General features: G+C 39.0%; 1 protein-coding gene and 1 non-coding gene across 5 annotated transcripts in view, besides 1 other annotated feature; both read right to left on the bottom strand.

Annotated features, from left to right (window-relative positions):
* Window positions 1-21575, bottom strand: part of SLC16A10 (solute carrier family 16 member 10) — a 143692-nt gene that overhangs the window by 109170 nt on the left and 12947 nt on the right. The window lies entirely within an intron of this gene.
* SNORD166 (small nucleolar RNA, C/D box 166) lies at window positions 8086-8191 on the bottom strand. Its single transcript, NR_145796.1, has one exon. It is a non-coding gene; the product is annotated as a small nucleolar RNA, C/D box 166 (small nucleolar RNA).
* Window positions 13921-15120: an enhancer, noted in NCBI's record as "MED14-independent group 3 enhancer chr6:111428108-111429307 (GRCh37/hg19 assembly coordinates)". NCBI's record gives its function as "activates an origin of replication core promoter dependent on BRD2, BRD4, P300/CBP and CDK7 cofactors, and independent of MED14, by STARR-seq in HCT116 cells {active_cell/tissue: HCT116}" and the evidence as "EXISTENCE:reporter gene assay evidence [ECO:0000049][PMID:35650434]".

The raw sequence follows: 21575 nt of genomic DNA, 5'->3' as shown, positions 1-21575 counted from the left end.
GGCAACAGTGAACACGGGGTAGGGGCCAAGAAGGGCCTGGGGTGCCAGGGTACAGAAAGCCAGCTGCTGAGAGCCCATCCTGGGGAGGTGGGAAGGATGTACCTCTCATGAGCCAAACCCAGACCCCTAGAACAGCCTCCACTGGCCCACTGGGCTTATAACTTACAAAACAAGATGAAATATAAAATTATTAAAAATTTTCAAGATGCTGACAGCAGAGCATTAAGCCAAGTATGGGACCCTTCTGAGCAGAGCCCTGTGCAACTGCAGAGGACACAAGCCCAGGAATCTGGCCCTGGCTGGTTCTCTGCTATAACATGGAAAAAAAACCAAAGGAAAAGGAGGTTAGTCTGTAGCTTTCCATAGTTTCTTTAAACCAAGCTGTAATGGAAATAGAAGAATAACACAGAATTTCTCTAAAAACTATGTTTTTCAAAACACAATACAATCTCTTTTGTTTGTTTAAGACAGGGTCTCACTGTATCACCCAAGCTGGGGTGCAGTGGCATAATCAGAGCTGACCACAGCCTCAACTTTCTGGGCTCAGGTGATCCTCCTGCCTCAGCCTCCGAAGTAGCTGGTACTACAGGCACACGCCACCACGCCCAGCTAATTTTTATATATTTTGTAGAGACAGGGTTTCCTATGTTGCCCAGGCTGGTCTTGAACTCCTGGGCTCAAGCAACAGGCCCAACTCAGCCCCCCAAAGTGCCGGGATTACCGGTGTGAGCCACCGTTGCCGGCCACAATAAAATCTGGATAATGCTGCTGCCAATGAACTGGACTAATCCAGGCCTACAGGGTTACCAGAGTGCCTCAATTCCTCCAACAGGGAGTAAGAGGCACACGTGTCATTACATTTTGCTGGTCATTATTTGACCTATGGCTCACTTAAAGTGGAGTTATAAGAAGCTGGTTGTATTGTATATTCCAAAATTTCCTGGAAATAAACATTCCAAATATACTTTGAATGAATGAATAAAACAGAAATATTTGACAAAAATATATATTTTTTTCTATTAGGGAAATAAAGTGCCTACTTGGCTGCTATCTACCCACAGACTTATAAAAAATAACTTCAAAAATTATACATCAAAATAAGCTCTATTTCAGTGGAATTCAGTTTATACCGTTAGTACTAAAGAATAAAAATAACCCTAACACCTTAAGATAAATGTTTCCAAGTCAATTCTTAAAAAACAAACACACACTAAGCACTCCACAATGATTGGGACATCGAGACAACCCTAATATCTTGCTCAAATATTAATAACCAACACTATGATATGATGTTCTCTTTAAAAACAGCCAAATAATCTACAGTATCTGCTGGCTCATGGTATAAGTGAAAGTCATCTGGACCAATGCTGAAAGTGGTTCATGGACAGGCACCAGTCTGAAAACTATTACCAGTTCACAAGATAACTAAAGAAACAAAGAGTGTTTAGAAATAGCAGTTTAAAAGAACAATTTTATATCTGATAAATCTAATAATATAAAATACAAATAAAAGTCATTATGTCTGATATTTTTGGAATTCTGGAATGGAGGGATGCACACATTAACAGAATCAACTGGCATTTTGGCATTTCACTTTACTTCCATTTAAGTTATAAAATGTTATATTGTGTAGAAACTCAACTATAAAAAAGTATATTTGAAAGTGCAAAGACTTCCAGAGTTATCTAAGCCTGAACTAGTCCATAAGCTAAGTTAAATTTCTAAACAGTGACATGAAGAACTGCCATTTATCAACTCCAATAAGTGCCTCTGATTTCAAGAATCCAAGAAAGGATTACTAAACACAGAAAAAGGAGAAATGGAAAAAAATGTTTCATGAAATCCAAACTAAGGATGTTGGAAGAATGACGTCAGCATGTTTCCCTGAGTGTCAGTGTGGTTCTGCAATGTGAGGACATACGCAAATCTCTTTTTTGGGAAATGGATACAGACATTAGTCATGACCACACTTTTTTATATTTCTAGTCTACATTTCCAGTTAATTTCTAAGATGGATGTCCCCATTAATACTACTTAATGGCTTAAGCCAACTTCATAATTAAAGACTTCACCTAATAGTTTGAAAGAAATTCCCTTATCATACAAATTGGGTCTGGATACATAAAATACTTGAAAGAAGACATTCAAAATAATAAAAATGAAGACCAGCAAGCCTGCCAGTATTATGGTTTCTAAACCAGTAAGGTTACAATGTTCTGCATTTTCTCAATGAGTGTATCTGGTGTTTCTTCTTGTAAGGACACTAATCCTATCTGACCAGGACCCCACCCTTGTGACCTCATTTAACCTTAAGTACATCTGTCAAGGTCCCATCTCCAAATATTGCCACACCAGGGGTTTGAGCTTCAAAATATGGATTTTGGGGGTTACAAACATTCAGTCCATAACATATGGCTAGCATTATATTTCTACTGGCAGTGATGCTATAGAGTAAAGATCAGCACAATGTGCCCTGCAGGCAAAACATGGTCCACTGCTCATTTTTGTACACCTCACAAGCTACAAATGCTTTTTACATTTTTAAATGGTTGGAAAAAATCAAAAGAATATGTCAAAACATATAAAAACTGTGTAAGATTCCAATGTTAGCGTCTAACAAAGTTTTACTAAAATACAGTCACACTCATTTGTTTACTTGTTGTATGAAGCTGAGTAGCTGCAAAAGAGACTATGCAGCCTACTCTAAAATATTTACTAAATGGCTCTTTACAGAGAATATTTTTGCCAATTCTTGCTACAGAGGATTAAAATGAAGCATCTCTATATGGTCTGACTGACTCACCTCTAAAATATGTAATGAACTTTAAAAAGCAATACTATTTATCACTTTTACCCGGTTTACCTCCAAATAGGATCTGAGGAGACCTATTTTTGTGTCAGCGATATTAAGTTCAAAGCTCTTATCAGAACTCCTGGGCTAGCTTAGCCCTTCAAAGGTATGGCACATTGCTTGCCAACAACAGATAACCCACTCAGTTACTGAAATGCACTTGGCCTCATTTCAAAGTCCCATCCCTGCCTTCTTCAGCATGACACCTTCCAGTGACTGTGCAGACTTTTGGTCCTGTTCCTACTTTGACTGTTCTTGTTCTTTGGCTTTGTCTTCCTGAGGATCCTGCAAAATCTTCTGAATAAGCATGAAAATATTTCCTCAGTAAGAGATGAACCAGCTTCTCTGGTTGTGTGTGGCAGGAAAGGCAAGTAAAATTAGGTGGCGATACCTATTCTCAACTGCTTTGAGTCCTTCACAGCTTCCTTCAATAGTGGTCCATCAATGCCATATAAAACCTGAGATAATTCACCTTTTTTTTTTTTTTTTTTTTTGAGACGGAGGCTCACTCTGTTGCCAGGCTGGGGTGCAGTGGTGCGATCTTGGCTCACTGCAACCTCCACCTCCCAGTTTCAAGGAATTCTCCTGCCTCAGCCTCCCAAGTAGCTGGGACTACAGGCATGCACCAGCACGCCCAGCTAATTTTTGGATTTTTTAGTAGAGACAGGGTTTCACCATGTTGGCCAGGATGGTCTTGATCTCTTCACCTCGTGATCCGCCCGCCTCGGCCTCCCAAAGTTCTGGGATTACAGGCGTGAGCCACCACACCCAGCCAATAATTCATCTTTACAGGTGCTAGACAGAACTGGAGGGAATGAATAAAAAGAGGTTTAAAACTACTATAACTTTCAGAAAATTTATTGAGCGGGTTATACTTCGTCTTTTATCATTTGCATTCATTTTTTTATGTTATAATTACATTTCCTAAAATTAGGGTAGATTGTCAACAAGAAGCCCTATGAGGCCAATGGTTTGAATAATAAAGCTCATAGTAAATGTTTTCTCTTGAGATAGCAATAGATATTTGTTATTTACATTTCTTAAATTATGTTGTGCATTCTTTCATGCCTACTGTATTTCTTCTTTGGTGAACTGCCTGTTCGTATCTTTTACCTATTTTTGTTTTGGAGTGGTAGTGTTTTTAAAAATTCTATAACTTAACATGATAATGACACCAAGTCCAATGTCCTATCCTTTCTTAAAAAGCAGCCTCTAAAATGTCAGTATTTTGGCTTCGCTCTCCCTCCAGTTCTCTCCTTGAAGTATAACAGAAAGTGCACTAGATTTGAAGTCCTAAGACACAGGTTCACTGCTGGGTCCCTGGGACTTGTTTACTTACCTGTAAAGTGAAGGGGCTGGATTAATTGTTCAGCAAGGCCACAGAGGTCTAAAATTCTTACAGTCTATTAGTTTTTCTATTCTCTCCCCATTCATCACCAGCTCCTGAATTCTATCTACGGTGGCAAGATGGCAGCTGTGAGTTAATTACAGGATCTGTGGGGTTTTGGTAGTCATAAATCGGTGGTGAAGCAAAAACCAAAAACAAGAAGTATAGAGAAAAGAAATAGTACTTCATGCCCTCAAAGGGTTCAATTTCTATTCAAATGATAAAATTAGTTAAGATGCTGCCATTTCAGGGTCAGACTTTGGCTCTGTTGAGGATGTTAATTGCATTATTGCAAACAAATAGCTTCAAAGCAAATAACCAAATATTGACTAAAGTAAAGTTGGTCCAAAAATTCGGTTTATTTGGTGGTACAAAAGAATAAACGTGCACATTGGCTTTGACCCTCCCACTTTTTTTTTTTTTTTTTTTTTTTTTGAGACGGAGTCTCGCTCTGTCGCCCAGGATGGAGTGCAGTGGCTTGATCTGGGCTCACTGCAACCTCCGCCTCCCGGGTTCACGCCATTCTCCTGCCTCAGCCTCCCAAGTAGCTGGGACTACAGGCACCCAACACCATGCTGGGCTAATTTTTTTTGTATTTCTAGTAGAGACGGGGTTTCAACGTGTTAGCCAGGATGGTCTCGATCTCCTGACCTCGTTATCCACCCACCTCGGCCTCCCAAAGCGCTGGGATTACAGGCATGACCCACCACACCTGGCCTGACCTTCCCACTTCTTTTATCAATCCTCTTCAATAACCCAACTTCCATGTAATTGTGTTGGGCCAACTTTCTTCTAAAGGACAAAATTAAATAATCAATACATGTACTGCTAAAGCAATTCCAGGCTTAAAATGTTTTAGTTTTATCTTCAAAGGGGGCACTACTTTTAGTTTTCTAGTATCCCCCATCCTTCTGTCTGCCATTTTCTTAAAGAGAAATTCAAATTTACCTTTAAAAGATCTGGCTGCCCACAACGAATTAAGTACAAAAATTTTTACCAATAGTGGGGGGAGAAATCCACTCAAAATTCTACCACCCTAACACAACTATGTCTTCATTTTTCTATATTCCCTTGATCTCTCCTCACATGCAAGCACATTTTGGAGTTACAGTCATGTGGTACATCCTGCTTTCACCAAGTTCTTCCATGTTGCTGCACAGTAACCATTATCATTTGCATTTGCATCATAGTACATAAAGTAGGTCATCAGCATTTAACCATTCCTGTATTTGGGGGCATTTAAGTTGACTTCAAATTTTTACTTTTTTTGCCCAGGTGCAGTGTCTCATGCCTGTAATCCCAGCACTTTGGGAGGCTGAGGTGGGTGGATCACCTGAGGTCAGGAGTTCGAGACCAGCCTGGCCAACATGGTGAAACCCCGTCTCTACTAATAATACAAAAATTAGCCAGGCATGGTGGTGCATGCCTGTAATCCCAGCTACTCCGGAGGCTGAGGCATGAGAATTGCTTGAACCCAGGTGGCGGAGGTTTCAGTGAGCCGAGATTGCGCCACTGCACTCCAGCCTGGGCAACAGAGAGAGACTACATCTCAAAAAACAAAAAAAAAATAACAAAAACAAATTTTTACTTTTTTATAGTAATGGTATAGTGAACCTCTTCATGCATTTAGCTTTTTCTTTCTTATGAGTCATTACGCGAGATGCTAGGGAGTGAGATTCTGAATCAAGTGATGTGACTATATTTGCCATTTAAAAAATTGGTCTTGCCCAAATTATTTTACTCTAACAGTAAGGACATTAAAACCTAAGTGTGATACTAAAAGAATATTATGGGATATAAGAAATATTCCTTTTTCATGGGTATAGGAGGTAAGGGGTCCCTACAAGTAGTATGATAAAACAAACACCCCTTCAGTCCTTTGATTCCTCACTGCCTGAGGAATAAGCAAACACTACTACAGCCCTTTCATCTGGTGACAGGAGGGAAAAACTGCAGACCTCTTTTTAGGTTTCAGTAAAGGGGTTAAAAAAAAAAAGTTTGTTAGCTTCAAGGCTCTATTTTAAAAGTGCCTCTTTATCAGATCTCTAGGCATGATACTACTGAGTTTTGCTCAACTTGTACAATAATTTTTATCAAGGTACTCCTGACCCTTTCTAGATACCACATGCCTGAGAAAGAAAGAATAAGGGAGCAACCAGAAAGCTGGCTTCAAAGAAACATATAATGGAAACATTTCTCACTGCTTATTAACAGCAAGAAATAATGCCAGCCAATCCTATTCATTCCATGACATCTTTACCATTAAAAACTTTTTCCAGGCCGGGCACAGTGGCTCACGCCTGTAATCCCAACAATTTGGGAGGCCAAGGCAGGTGGATCACCTGAGGTCAGGAGTTCAAGACCAGCCTGGCCAACTTGGCAAAACCTTGTCTCTACTCAAAATACAAAAATTAGCCGGCGTGATGGCAGGCGCCTATAATCCCAGCTACTCAGGAGGCTGAGGCAGAGAACTGCTTGAACACAGGAGGCAGAGGTTGCAGTGAGCCAAGACCGTGCCACTGCGCTCCAGCCTGGGCGGAGACTTCATCTAAAAAAAACAAGCAAACAAAGAAACCTTTTTCCTTGTTTGATGACTACTAAGATAATACATGATACTTGTCCATCTTTTAATTCAGACACAAAAATGGAGATGTGGAAAGCAATCTGTCCTCACTTCCACCAAAAAAGGCACAGCTATGGTAAGATGGACATAGGAAAAAGTGTAGAAGAACATACAATTAAATACTATTTAAAAAAAATAGAATCCACTACATACAGGCTTCTGCAACTTGCTTTGTATGTGACTTTTAAATAATGTAGCTTTAAGGAGGTTGCAGTGAGCCAAGATCACACCACTGCACTCCAGCCTGGGCGATGGAATGAGACACTGTCTCAAAAAAAATAAATAAAAATAAATAGATAACGTACCTTTAAAATACATACTTTTCATTATGAAATACTGAAAGCACTCAGAAAATTATAGGTGCTTACCAATGAATTTTGTAAAATCTTAACTCTGGTAATATTTGCTTTATAATTTTAAAAAATAAACTACAGAGATGAGGCCCCTCCTCTGGCCTCCCCCCTCCATTTCCCTCCCTCCCTTTATAGAGATTACCACATCCTGTATTGGCTAAATAGCATTCCTATGCATGCTTTTCTATTTTTATTACATAACTATGCTTCAATAAAATACATTTACCTTATTTCCTTTGAAATAATTTAATTAAATTTACCTTCAATTTAAAATGCATATTTTTAACATTATACCATTTCTAAAATGTAGATGTATCTTACAATCCATAATGAGACATTACATCACAATTTAAGTGGCAATTTTCCCCCTTTCTCAGTGTACAGAAAATAATAGTGCATCTTAGCATCAGTATAGCCTTTTAGATTCTATGAGATGTGGTAGGATTGCTTTACATGACTTTTTAAGGAAATGGCATCACATCAGACATTTCACAACTTTGTCTTTTCATTCGATATGATGTTTTTGAGATTTACCAATGTAGTCACATGTATGGAACATCTTTAACGTCTCAACTAACTGTGACACATCACAGCATTAGAAGACATTTAAGTAAGACAGAAGTCCTATGCTTGCTAAAGGAAATGGTAACTAGTGATGTTCAAATGCTTGACTTAAACAAAGAAAAGGTATACAAAACAAGATGGAAATACAAAAAAAAGAGGGAGAGAAGAGAAAGAAAAAAATTCCCTGCTTGTTTGATCTGTATGTAGCTGGGAACAGCAGACGTCTGAATAACTAAATTTGATGACTCAGGAATAAAAATGACAAGAGGAACTGTTCCTGGAAATCTGTGCTGTTGCTGCTCCAGGGCCCAGTCAGAAATGCAAGCTGCTCATATCAGCCACGCAGGCACTGAGACCTCAGACCCGGCTTTTACTCACTCAAGGTTGGCTGAAAACCAGCATCATCATAAGACAGGCAACAACACTGGAGGGACAAAGAAAGGGCGACTGAGACTGCAGCCTCATTCACTGTTTCCTGTGACTCTGCTCTTCCCTGTCCCTCCTCCCTTATTTGTATTCCTCTTTTTCTCTATTACTTTAGCCAAGAAGTCCATTTCAAAGACCTGTACCCACTGTCTGTCTGCCTTACACGCTTAAACACACAAGTGCGTGCATGTACTCACACACACACAATCCCCACAATGAAAAGCCAAAGTAACCACTCAGTACTAGATTTTGCTGAATGTACATAAGAAATTTTCTATTACTGGTTCCTCAAATGAAACCCCAGTTTTAGCTTGAGAGTTAAAAGTGGCAAAACAAACAAACAACAACAAAAAAAACCCCAGAGCTCCTGATAGCTTCTTCTTCCCCTTTCCATGTGATCGAAAAACACCTTGCTGGAGGCAGATTTAATTTTTGAAAAGGGCCTCCAGTGGCCTTTTTCACAAGCACACATGGAGCCCTTACTTTTCACAGAGGACACACTGTGATAACTCTTACAGGGGTGTATTAAATATTGTACTACTAATTCTTATATGTGTAGTTTGCCCCTTTACTTCCATTTAACCATAAGCCAGTTGAAAAAAATGGCAATACTCTATCTAATTCTAGCTAACACAGAAATGCCCATATTTACTCATATTAAAGTATTACAGAACTAAGTAGAATTCCTAAATTATTTAATTTGTTAATAGGTAAACTGCATCTTTTTATCTTTTAAAATTTAATATTTTAAATTCTAGTATATTTAATATAGAGTAATGGAACAAAATGACCCCCAAATCATTTTATTGGTTTTTCTTCCTCCAAAACATTCCTGGAAGCCAGAAAATCCACTGGAGTTCTTGTGTTTTGGGGCATTCTGCAACTAAAGTTCCTGTTACCTGCTGATATACTTGAAGTATGTCTGAACATAAATTATTGGAAGATTAAACTCTCAAATTTGATTAACTCACTTCCTGTCAAGTTATCCTAATTAACCTACAGCCTTCAAACTTTGGGATTATTGCTGCCAATTCTGTACAGCTATTTGTTTAGTGCACAGTCTGCTCTAATACCCTCCAAGGCAAAATTGCAAATAAAAACTCTTTTTGATTTCTACTAATTAAATAGACATTGGAATGTGCCATACCTATAATCTGTATTAATATGTGAATACAAATTTTGCCTACTTCATATGAAGCATTCAGAAAGAACTTATTAAACTGAAATAAATTCTTCTTGCAGCGAAGGACTTTCATTTGTTCAGAAACATCACTGAATGTCTACTATGTGTAAAGCACTGTGCTGGCCAGCGCAAATATAGTTGTAAACAAGACAGACACAGCCCCTGCACTCATGGACTTTCCATGACTAGGAAAGACAGATATTAACAAATAATTACAACCAAATAGTTAGAAAGCTAACACCACAATTTGTGCCTTGCACAGCACTTGCCAAAATTAAGCTCAGTATCAAAAATACAAATACTGGCCAGGCACGGTGGCTCATTCCTATAATCCCAGCACCTTGGGAGGCCAAGGCAGGAGGACTGCTTGAGCCTAGAGGTTTGAGGCCAGCCTAGGCAACACAGAGACCCCATCTCTAGAAAAAAAAAATTTTTTTTTAATTAGCCAGGCATGGTGGTGCATGCATGTAGTCCTAGCTACTTGGGAGGCTGAGGTGAGAGGATTGCTTGAGCCTGTATGGTAGAGGCTATAGTGAGCCATGATCATGCCACTCAGTCCAGCCCGGGCAACAGAGCAAGACTCTGTCTCAAAAAAAAATTTTATATCTATATCTATATCTATATCTATACATACCTATATACACACACACACATCTATACACACATACAAAAATATTCTACTCAGTTAAGGACTTTGTTGAGTTTATAGATCAAGAATGGTACAAAGGATAGAAGAGAGATGACAAAGTCATGCCTCAAATTAAAATTGTAGGACAGTAGTAATGGGTGAACAGCATTCTGTATGTACTTAATGCCACTAAATTGTACACTTTATAAATGGTGACAATGGTAAAACAAGCCAGGTACAGAAAGACAAATACTTACACGACCTCACTGACATGTAGAATCTTAAAAGGCTGATCTCATAGAAATAGAAAGTACAATGGTCTCAGAGGCTGGACTGGTTAGAGAGGAGAGGGAAATGGGCAGACGTTGGTTAAAGGATATATAACGACAATTAGGTAGGAAAAATAAATTCAAGAAATTTAGACAATATTGCATTCTTTTTTATTATTTTTTGTAGAGACGGGGTATCAGTATGTTGTCTAGACTGGTCTAGAACTTCTAGTCTCAATCAATCCTCCCGCCTTGCCCTCCCAAAGTGTTGTGATTACAGGCGTGAGCCACCATGACCAGATGATAAAATTTTATTCTTGAAAAATTTAAAGAGAGTGGATGTTAAAATGTTCTCACCACAAAAATGATAACTGTGTGAGGTAATGCATTTGTTAATTACCTAGACTTAACAATTCTACAATGTATATATGTTATGTATGACATATACATCATGTTATACATAATACAAAACATCACATTATGCATGTTAAATATACAATTTTATCTGTCAATTTTTTTTACAAAACATATTTTAAATGTCAAAACAAAAAAAATTTATAGCATAAAATTTGCCCTTTTGGTAAATTTACCAAAATTAAGTAGAAATCAAAACAGGTTTTTATTTGCAATTTTGCCTTGGAGGGTATTAGAGCAGACTGCATTAAACAAATGGCTGTACAGAACTGGCAGTAATTTACAGTAAGTTGACCAAAATGGTAAATTTTATGCTATAAATGGGTTTTGGTAAATTTACCAGAATGGTAATTTTATGCTATATATGTTTTGTCACAATAAAAAATGTAAAAAAAAAAGTTGTTAAATGTTTAATCAGCTTCACCAAAAACTCAAAACATATGAGTACTATATGAGAGAAGCTATATGGCACGGAAGTGAAAATAGATAGAAAACATGAAATTTCTTGGCTTTGATTATCTGCCAGCCTTACATCAATTGTATAGTTCACCTATCAGAGCACAGCTGGAGGTGGGTAAGGGCACAATCTTAGAAACAAGTTTCACTACAAATGCATGGTTTCTAATCTTCATCGGATTCTCAAACCTTTTCCTTATCACTAATCAGCTCCCAAACTTTTGCCATTCTCTTCCAATCTGCTGCTCAACCCCAGGACCACATTTAATGACCTCTTCCCCTCCATTTCCTGATCCTCACCAAACCTACCTACATTTGCTCCCATTCTTACTTTCTTCTCTCCTGGTTCTGAATAGGGGTTTTGAATCTTGCCCCCCAGCAAGAACCTTCCTTGTAAAGATCTGATCTGCTCATGAACCTTACCCCATCAATTAGACCTTTAGTAACTTCACCTCCTCCCTCTCTACAGGCTCCTTCTTTAAGTTAGTTCTCAAGCTACTCCTATCTTCAAAAAAAAAAAAAATTGTTACCCTCGCTTGACTCTAATCTTCCTCTAGCTACCACCCTACTTCTCCCTTTGACTTGACTTCCTCCCTTCTTAGCCTGTACCCCTATCTCTTCCTCCCATTCACTGCTCCACAGACTATAATCAGACTTCACTTCCCATATATCCAGGCCGATGAAAGCGTGCTGGCTGAAGTCATCAGAGATTTCCCACTGACTCATTTCAATGGACCCTCTTTGGTCTTTCTTAAATATAGGAAATATCAGCCATATTTAAATTTCTTTATTGGCAGCACCACTATTCATCCAATCCTCTAAACCAAAGCCCTGTAACTCTCCAGAGTCCTCTCACTCCTACTTTTTTATCTCCTTGTTCAGCCACAATTTTTTTAATTTCAAAAAAAAAGTACACAGTATTACCCACTTGAGAAATTTAAAAATACAAATAATACAGAACAAAATTTAAATTTAAATTTAATGTACAAAAGAGAAATAAAAACATACATCCCAACAAAGGTTTGCATACAAATGTTCATAGCAGTTCTATTCATAATAGGCAACAACTGAAAACAACCCAATATCCATCAATATGTGAATCGATAAAAAATTGTGGTAGGCCAGGTGTGATGGCTCACACTTGTAACCCCAACACTTTGAGGGGCCAAGGCAGAAGGATTGCTTGAGGCCAGGAGTTTGAGACCAGCCTGGGCAATATACAGAGACCCCCATCTCTACAAACAATTTAAAAATTAGACAGACTAGCACACACCTGTGGTCCCAGTTACTCAGGTGGCTGAGGCAGGTGGATCACCTCAGTCTGGGAAGTCAAGGCTGCAGTGAGCCATGATCACACCACTGCACTCCAGCCTGGATGTCAGAGCAAAACTCTGTCTCGAAAAAAAAAAAAAAAAATGTGGCATAGGCATACAATGGAATACTACTTAGTAATAAAAAAGAAAGAACTACTAATACATACCACAACAAGGAGAAATCTCAAAAGCATCATGCTGAGTGAAAAACAGATACAAAAGAAAACACACTGTATGATTCCATTCATATAAAATTTTAGAAAAGGCACAGCTATAGTGACAGAAAGCAGATCAAGTTTTCAGGAGCCAGAATGTAAGGGAAAAAGACTAACTGCAAAAAGGATCACGAGGGTACACCCTGGGGTGATGGACACACTATATTATGATTGTGATGGTGGTTACATGATTGTATACAGTTTGATTGTCAGAACTATCAAACTGTACACTTAAAATTTGTGAATTATATAATATCTAAGTCATCCCTCAATAAAGCTGATTTTAAAAAATTAATTACATTTAATTAATTGAGCCTTCTAACATAAGATTTTTAAATCTACGTTTCTTTTCTAAAGATCTAATTTATATTTATTCCAGTTCTGCAGTGAATCAATCCCATATATAGTATTGTGTTGCTCATAATGACACAAAATTATGATTGGAAATAATACTTAGCTGAATTACTTTATCTCCGGGAAGCTTATCAAGGCAACAATTTACAATGTACATAAGCAGGTGAAGTTTGTTATGAAAATGGCATTATTTTGATTATGATAAATAAGCCGTGTGCTCTTTGATTCCACCTGCATAGCAATCTCATTTATTCTCTTTGAGAACCTCCTGAATGGAAACCTCAAATTTCAAAGGGTGAATACTGGTCTGTGTTTCAGACACTGTACCTAGGCAGACAGCACAGGGCTAGGACTTCCTCCTTTCTTTATTCCCTTAGGATTAAAATGTATACAAGGGGACCTCAAAAAATTCACTAAAGAATGAAATTAAAAGATAATGAAAATATACACTTCATTTCTCAACATAAGCTCCATCAAGTTCAAGATACTTTTGTGAGTTGATACCAGCCATTAGTCCATCTCTAAAGAATTGAGGGTCCCAGGAATTTAATCATGTCAATGCAGTCCTTTTTACATTATTAACTGAAGAAAAATAGGTGCCCTTTAAATATTTTTTAAGATTAGGAAAGAAAAAGAAGTCAGATAAAGCCAAATCAAGACTGTAAGATAGGCCAGGCACAGTGGCTCATGCCTGTAATCCCAGCACTTTGGAAGGCCGAGACAGGTGAATCACCTGAGGTCAGGAATTCAAGACCAGCCTGGTCAACATGGTGAAACCCCATCTCTACTAAAAATACAAAAAATAGCTGGACATGGTGGATCACGCCTGTAATCCCAGCTACTTGGGAGGCTGAGGCAGGAGAATTGCTTGAACCTGGCAGGTGGAGGTTGCAGTGAGCCAAGATTGCACCACTGCACTCCAGCCTGGGAGACAAAGTAAGACTCCAACTAAAAAAAAAAAAAAGACTGTAAGTGAATGCCTAATAATTTCCCATCAAAACTCTTGCAAAATTGCCCTTTTTTGATGAGAGGATGACCGGGAACATTGTCCTGGTGGAGAAGGACTCTCTGGTAAAGCTTCCCTGGGTATTTGTTTGTTTTGCTAAAACTTTGGCTAATTTTCTCAAAACACACACAATAAGCAAATATTATCATTCTTTGGCTCCCCAGAAAGTCAACAAGCAAAATACCTTGAGCATCCCAAAAGTCTCTTATCATGACCTTTGCTCTTGACTAGTCTGCTTTTGCTTTAACTAGATCACTTCCACCTCTTGGTAGCCATTGCTTTGGTTGTGCTTTGTCTTCAGCATCATACTGGTAAAGCCATGTTTCCTCTCCTATTACAATCCTTCAGACATATGCCACAGGATCTCAATCCCACTTGTTTAAAATTTCATGTAAAGTTCCCTCTTCAATTACAGCATGAACAAGATTAATTTTTTCCTTGAAAATTGACACGGATGGTCTACTGCTGTGGGCTTCCTCTTCAACATCATCTCGTCCCTTCTTAAAGGATGTTAGCCATTTGTAAACTGCTGGTTCCTTTAGAGTATTGTCCCCATAAACTTTTTGTAAAGCATCAATGATTTCACCATCCTTCTACCCAAGCACCACCATAAATTTGATGTTTGTTCTTGCTTCAATTTTAGCAGAATTCATGTTACCCTGATAGGCGCTTTTTAAAAACTGGTGCGATATCATTTCTTAATGTCTCGAACTGTTCAGACATGTTGTAACAAGTTCAGACATGTTGTAACAAGTTAGTACAAGTTGATTTTGGTTCAAAAATATTTTGAAATCCATGCACAGTTTTTTTTCATAGTGTACATTTTTTCCATGAACTTTTCCAAGACCCCTCATACGTTTCTTTATTCCCATACCCACCCCAGCATCTAATAAATACAGACTGAAACAATGTCGACTAGTTCAAAATATGTATCTATTTAATGCATAACAGAATTGCTGCCACCAAAAGACTCACTTCCTAAACAATCCACACTCAAACCAATTTTATAACACTAACTTACCTAATTCTAGTAACTGAAAATGCATACACAGGGTGCAAACATTTAACTATGAAGGCAGCTTTGTTAATCCCCAGCTAGAGGAAAGGCTCTGAACTTTGTCTAAAGCCTATCTGAAAATCTACCACAAGACAGTGTATCAATGTATTTTCACTGTTGTTCCATAAACCATTTCCAGAGTTACAGAATGATCATGCTGCAATGCAGGGAGGAAAGGGTTGAAGGCAACTAGTTTCTATTCACTTATCATTAAGCTTAGAAAAGCTGATCAGTTTTGACAGTTCTAACTCACTGACTTGCTTTCCAAAATACTAAGGATAGTTCCAGCTCAATAGAGTGATTATCCAAAGATTAGTGACCGCTGATTAATTTATCCTCTCAAGTAACCGTAAATAATAGGGATTACATTGCCTTGACGTTCTTCCATAACCCATTCTCAGTTGCCACCAGACACCCAAAGTCATCTTGATGAATTAAGAGGATGAAGACAGATTAATTAGATTAAGCATTACTTTTACCAGACTTTTTTTTCCAAAATAGTCTGCCTCTTGAAGTGGCTCAATATTTGTTTCCTAATCAAAGTACAAAAAATAACTACCACATATACAAAATTAATTATAATACCATACACGTAACAAATGAACACTAAATTATAGAACACCATGTTTTGAAGTCAATATCAAAAACTTACATTGTTCTTTTGATTCCCAACCTTTACTACTATCAAGTCTCTTCTTGTCTGATGTGTTGGCATGGAATTTAAAAGATTGCATGAATTCTATTTTTCAAACTCTGAGGAGAAAAATGCTTTAATTGGACTTTCCTTTTCTTCCCTTCCCTATAATTGTCAGAAAACATATTTACTAGTCAGTAAGCCAGTACTTCAGTTCACCCAGAAGGCACAACAGCAGACAAATGTGGTCAAAATACCACCTTACATGCTGACTTTTGCTTTAATACAGATTCTGTAAATGAAGCCAAATGATATTAAAAGATGAAACAATTACTGGAAGGGTAAAGGTGTCTTGGCTTACAAAAAACGGCAGATATCTATTCTTACACAACTATCAATTCCCTTTCATCCACCCTCTGCTGTTACTGGTTCTTCCTCCAGGGTCACTGCACTTCCAGCACCTTCAGCTGGGCTTCAGTCACAACAGAGCAATTCAGGACCTGAGTCCTGAGAGATCACAGGACAGCACGTGAGTCAACACACACGCCCGCACACAGGCACCGTGCCAACCTGCTCACTCACAACAGTGTGGACAGATCTGTAGTGCTTTATGCATTGAAAAGTACTTTGACACTCTCTTGAGTCTCACTGCTCAGTGTGTGACAGGTAACTAAGGCAAAACACACTTGTGTGTGGCCAGGTGGCTAGTTATTATCTCAATTAGGACTGACTCCCTTCCCAGCCAGAAAGTGCCATAAAGATGACACCTCCTCCCCTAACAAACCTCAAATGTCCATTATGAATGTGCAAAAACAGTCCATATTTCTCAATAAACTGTGCAATATTCCACCCCAGTCCCAGTCAGATAACTTAATTTCACTTATTCTATAATAGTATTATAGTAGCTCTCCTAGATAACTCTTTTAAAGAGTAGAATCTATACTTACTTAAAAGAATTAGCTGTTTTCATTTTGAACTGTGAATGAAGTAGTTGGCTCAGTTACTAAACTCTGTGAATATATAAGATAACATCATCTGCTTGTTGAACAGGTTTTCACCACTGTCAATACTTTAAATTTAAAATACATAAATTAGTTGAAATGACTGTAAGCTATTCTCACAGTCTCTTGGTCTAGAACATCTTAAAAATAAGACTTACAGACCAACTTAATTACATCACAAATGAAAGGAGGAGGAACATGCCAAAAGTCTTTAGCAGTCATGTCAAATTGAAGGAAAAAAATGACTAAGTCTTAAGACGAAGTTTTGGAAATACCTAAGACAGGGATAGTAAAAATATAATTTTGACCCTTGGGAAGACGCAAATCTGAATTAGAGAAATCCAAAGGCTAGAAAGACATTTTAAGGAAGTTCTATTACTTTTTTTTTTTTTTAAGACCAAAGCTAAGAGGTGGCAGCAGCTACAGTGGCCATCTCAGTGCGGCCATACTTTTAAATATAATGATTTCAGTAGAAATGAACTAAATTACCTAGAAGCAGCCCCTGAGTCCGCTCAAGACAGGATTTCTGGGTTTCCATTATGTCATGTTCCTCTTAGAGATACATGTTCTTTCCAAAGCCCCACCACTGGACTCAGCGTCACTCTGAGACTACCAGTTTGCATTTCCAGTTACCTGCCTGACATCGCCCTTGATGTCTTGCTGACCCTTAACGCTCCACATGTCTAAAATGTGAGCCAGCCTTTCCCTGGCAACTCTTTCTCCTCATGCCCCATACCTGTCCATGACATCATCTAGGGCTGTCGACATGATTTTGTGGGGCACAATACAAAATGTATTGTAGGTCTCCCTGATCAAAAATTATTAAGACACAGGCTCCAGATGTAGGCATCAATGCTGTTTCTGTGTTCTTCATCACTGTCCAACCCATTCTTTGCCAGAATTCCTGCAGTCTATCCTTTGAAATGTCTCACATCTGTCCCTTCATTCCCATTTCCATGGCTGACCCTCAAATCTCACTCGGCTTTCGGTCGGGGCTTTGTAATTGGTGTTCCTCCTATTTCTTGCCTCTGCAACCCAGAGATCTTTTTAAAGCACTACTTAGAAACCCTCTTCAGAAATCCTCAGTATCTCCCCATTGCCTCTATTAAATAATGTCCAAGCTTACCTTGGCATTTAGATCTTCCGTTCCCCAGCTCCACCATTCTTTGCCAGCCTTATAGTCTATGACCTTTCACTACATATCCTCGGCCCTCGACAAATCAAACTCCTTGTCATTCACTTAATAAGCCCAGTGTGGAGTCAAGTATAAAGAACCTGGGCCACGAAGCTGGAGACTTAAGTTTAAATCCAGCCTCACTACTTACTAGCCTTAGTAGCCCCACCTAAAACACACACATCATAATTGTTACATGAAAGGATTACTGGATAGATTAAACAAAATAACCTGAAATACATAGTAAACCACAGTCAGAACATTCAGTATTAGAACTGCCTCCCAACCCTTGCCCAGGCCTTACACTCTCACCTCGGATACCCTCTTCTGTTAGATATGCTGAGAAAAGTCTCCCAATCTCGTAACACCTAACTCAAAAACTGAAGCCTTCTCTAGTCAGCTCAATCAGAAGTCATTCTCCCTTCCTCTAAAATCCTATATCTTACTTGCACAGGATTTAGCATGTGCAGCATATTCTCTCAGAGTTACTTATGTATCATTTTGTTTCCCCTCATGACCTCTCAAGAGCATGGAATAAGTCGAATTTGTTTCTTGCGTGGCTCTCAGTACATATTTTGTGCTCAAAAAATTAAATGGGTGGCTGGACATGGTGGCTCACATCTATAATCCCAGCACTTTGGGAGGCCGAGGCAGGTGGATCACCTGAGGTCAATAGTTTGAGACCCACCTGACCAACATGGTGAAACCCCATTTCTACTAAAAATACAAAAATTAGCCAGGTATAGTGGCGTGTGTCTGTAATCCCAGCTACTCGGGAGGCTGAGACAGGAGAATCGCTTGAACCCAGGAGGTGGAAGTGGCCGTAAGCCAAGATCGTGCCATTGCATTCCAGCTTGGGCGACAAGAGTGAAACTCCATCTAAAAAACAACAACAACAAAATTAAATGGGGAGCCGGGCCCGGTGGTTCACACCTATAATCTCAGCACTTCGGGAGGCTGAGGCAGGCAGATCCCTTGAGTCCAGGAGTTTGAGACCAGCCTGGGCAATGTGGCGAAACCCCGTCTCTACAAAAAATATGAAAATTAGCCAAATGTGGTGACATGCACTTGTAGTCCCAGCTACTCAGGAGGCTGAGGTGGGAGGATCACTTGAGCCTGGGAAGTCAAGGCTGCAGTGAGCCATGAGCGTGCAACCGTATGTACTCCAGCATGGGTGACAGAGCGAGACCCTGTCTCATAAAAATAACTAAATAAATACATGCAAACAAAATTTTTAACATACCCCAAAATTAATTAATAAAATATTTTCAACGGAATTAGCTCGAGTCCAGAGGTTGATGCAAGGTGATAGCACTGAAAGAGATTAAGATATGGCTACTCTTGCAGACTTGATCCTCTGAAGGATGAGATGTCACCTGGAAGAATCACAAAGTCCTCATGCCCAAGTCTCTACATGGTTTATTTCCATTCCTATCCCCCGCCCTAAGACAGACCTTGATCAACACCTGGGCTAAGACAGCAGAGGAAACAAGGACATGGTCTACCTGCCAAGATGTGTCAGGTGAGAATCTAAGGCCTAAGATAATCTCAAGCATTCCTTCATTACCTATGGGAATGAAGTTTTACTCTAATATATTCACTGGCATATGTCCTCTTGTATTTTCAAATATTATATATAATTGCCAGGTCATTTGCAGCTTCTAAAGGGCTCAAAAACTGGGAACACAGACTTATAAGCACTGAAATATGATTTTAAACTACTTTTAAAAAATATCATTAGTACTTATCAAATTAGCAAATACTAATAAAAATAAAACCAAACATTGGTAGGGTTTTCAGGAAGCCAGCACATCACTGGTGGCACAATAAACTGATTCAAGTTTTCTAAAGAATAATCTGGCAATGTGTAACAGGTGTTATAAAGTTGTTCATACCCTTTGAACCAGTAATCTCACTTCTGGACGTACACCCAAGGAAGCAATCCAAGAGAGGGGAAAAAAACAATTTGTTCGACGACATATACAGATATGCTACATATGTTGTACAACACTGCCTGCTACTCACTAAACAAAGGAGGCCTGGTTGAGTAACCTAGGGTAGACCAATATGGTAGAACATCACACTTACTGAAACAATTAAGCAGGTGCCTTATGAGATACAGAAAAATGTACCTTAAAAAACGTTTACTGAAAAACAGAAAACAAAAGCAAATATTGACATATAAATGTATAATTCTGCCAGGCCCAGTGGCTGACACCTATAATCTCAACACTTTGGAAGGCCAAGGCAGGCGGATCACTTGAGACCAGGAGTTTGAGACCAGCCTGGCCAACACGGCGAAACCCTGTCTCTACTAAGAATACAAAAATGAGCTGGACATGTTGGCACACTCCTGTAGTCCCAGCTACTTGGGAGGCTGAAGTGGGAGGATGGCTTCAGCCTGAGGTTGAGGTTGCAGTGAGCCGTGATCGTGCCATGGCACTCCAGCCTGAGCAACACAGCAAGACTCTGTCTCAAAAAAAATAATAATTTATAATTATTTATTTGCAAATCTGAAAACCCAAACCCAAAGTTTTTGTAAGAGAATATCAACATTTAATTAGAAGCAAAACTTGATCTGAACTGACCTGAAGCTACTCATGGTCTCTATTTAACTCACTTATCCATACATTTTGCTGCAGAAATGTTAATGTATTTGATTATAGGGTACCTGGGACTCTTCTAGGGGTGTCAGAAAATACAGGTGTCTGTACCAGATTACTTTTTTTAACTCTATTTACTTCAGTAGGGAGCAGGTTACTTTTTTACAATTCAAAAAAATCTAGGCTGGGCGCAGTGGCTCAGACCTGTAATGCCAGCACTTTCAGAGGCTGAGGTGGACAGATTGCTTGAGCCAAGGATTTCAGGACCAGCCTGGGCAACAAGGCAAAACCCTGTCTCTACAAAAAAATACAAAAATTAGTTACGTGTAGCGGCATGCCCCTGTAGTCCTAACTACTTGGGAGGTTGAGGTGGGAGGATCACTTGAGCCCAGGAGGTCGAGGCTGCAGTGAGCCATGATCCCACCACTGCACTCCAGCCTGGGTGACAGAATGAGATCCTGTCTCAAAAAAAGAAAAAATATATATACATATATTTATATATATATATATATATATATATAGAGAGAGAGAGAGAGAGAGAGAGAGAGAGAGAGGGAGAGAAAGAGCGAGAGAGAACCCCAAGTTTCAGATAAACAATTACTATACTGATAGACTATACTGATGATACCCATACATATATAACAACATATACATGTATGTATGTATGTATATATGCATACATGCATCAGTTATAAATTTAGGTAAAAGTGTTAAAGTTTGGCATTCCCTGGCTTTGTTGATAAAACCGCTTAAGGAGAGTGTATTCTTTAAGGAAAGCTAACCTCCTTATAATGATTCATCTGTGGGAGTGAGTAAAAAAAGACAACTGTAGGCCGGGCACGGTGGCTCACACCTGTAATCACAGCACTTTGGTAGGCCGAGGCGGATCACGAAGTCAAGATATCGAGATCATCCTGGCTAACATGGTGAAACCCCATCTCTACTAAAAATACAAAAATTAGCTGGGGATGGAGGTGCATGCCTGTAATCCTAGCTACTCAGGAAGCTGAAGCAGGAGAATCGCTTGTACACGGGAGGCAGAGATTGCAGTGAGCCGAGATCGC

Source organism: Homo sapiens, chromosome 6, assembly GCF_000001405.40.
Source record: "Homo sapiens chromosome 6, GRCh38.p14 Primary Assembly".
Lineage (NCBI taxonomy): Eukaryota > Metazoa > Chordata > Mammalia > Primates > Hominidae > Homo > Homo sapiens.
Note: the sequence above shows the minus strand (reverse complement) of the source record. Positions and strands in the feature narration are given on the sequence as shown.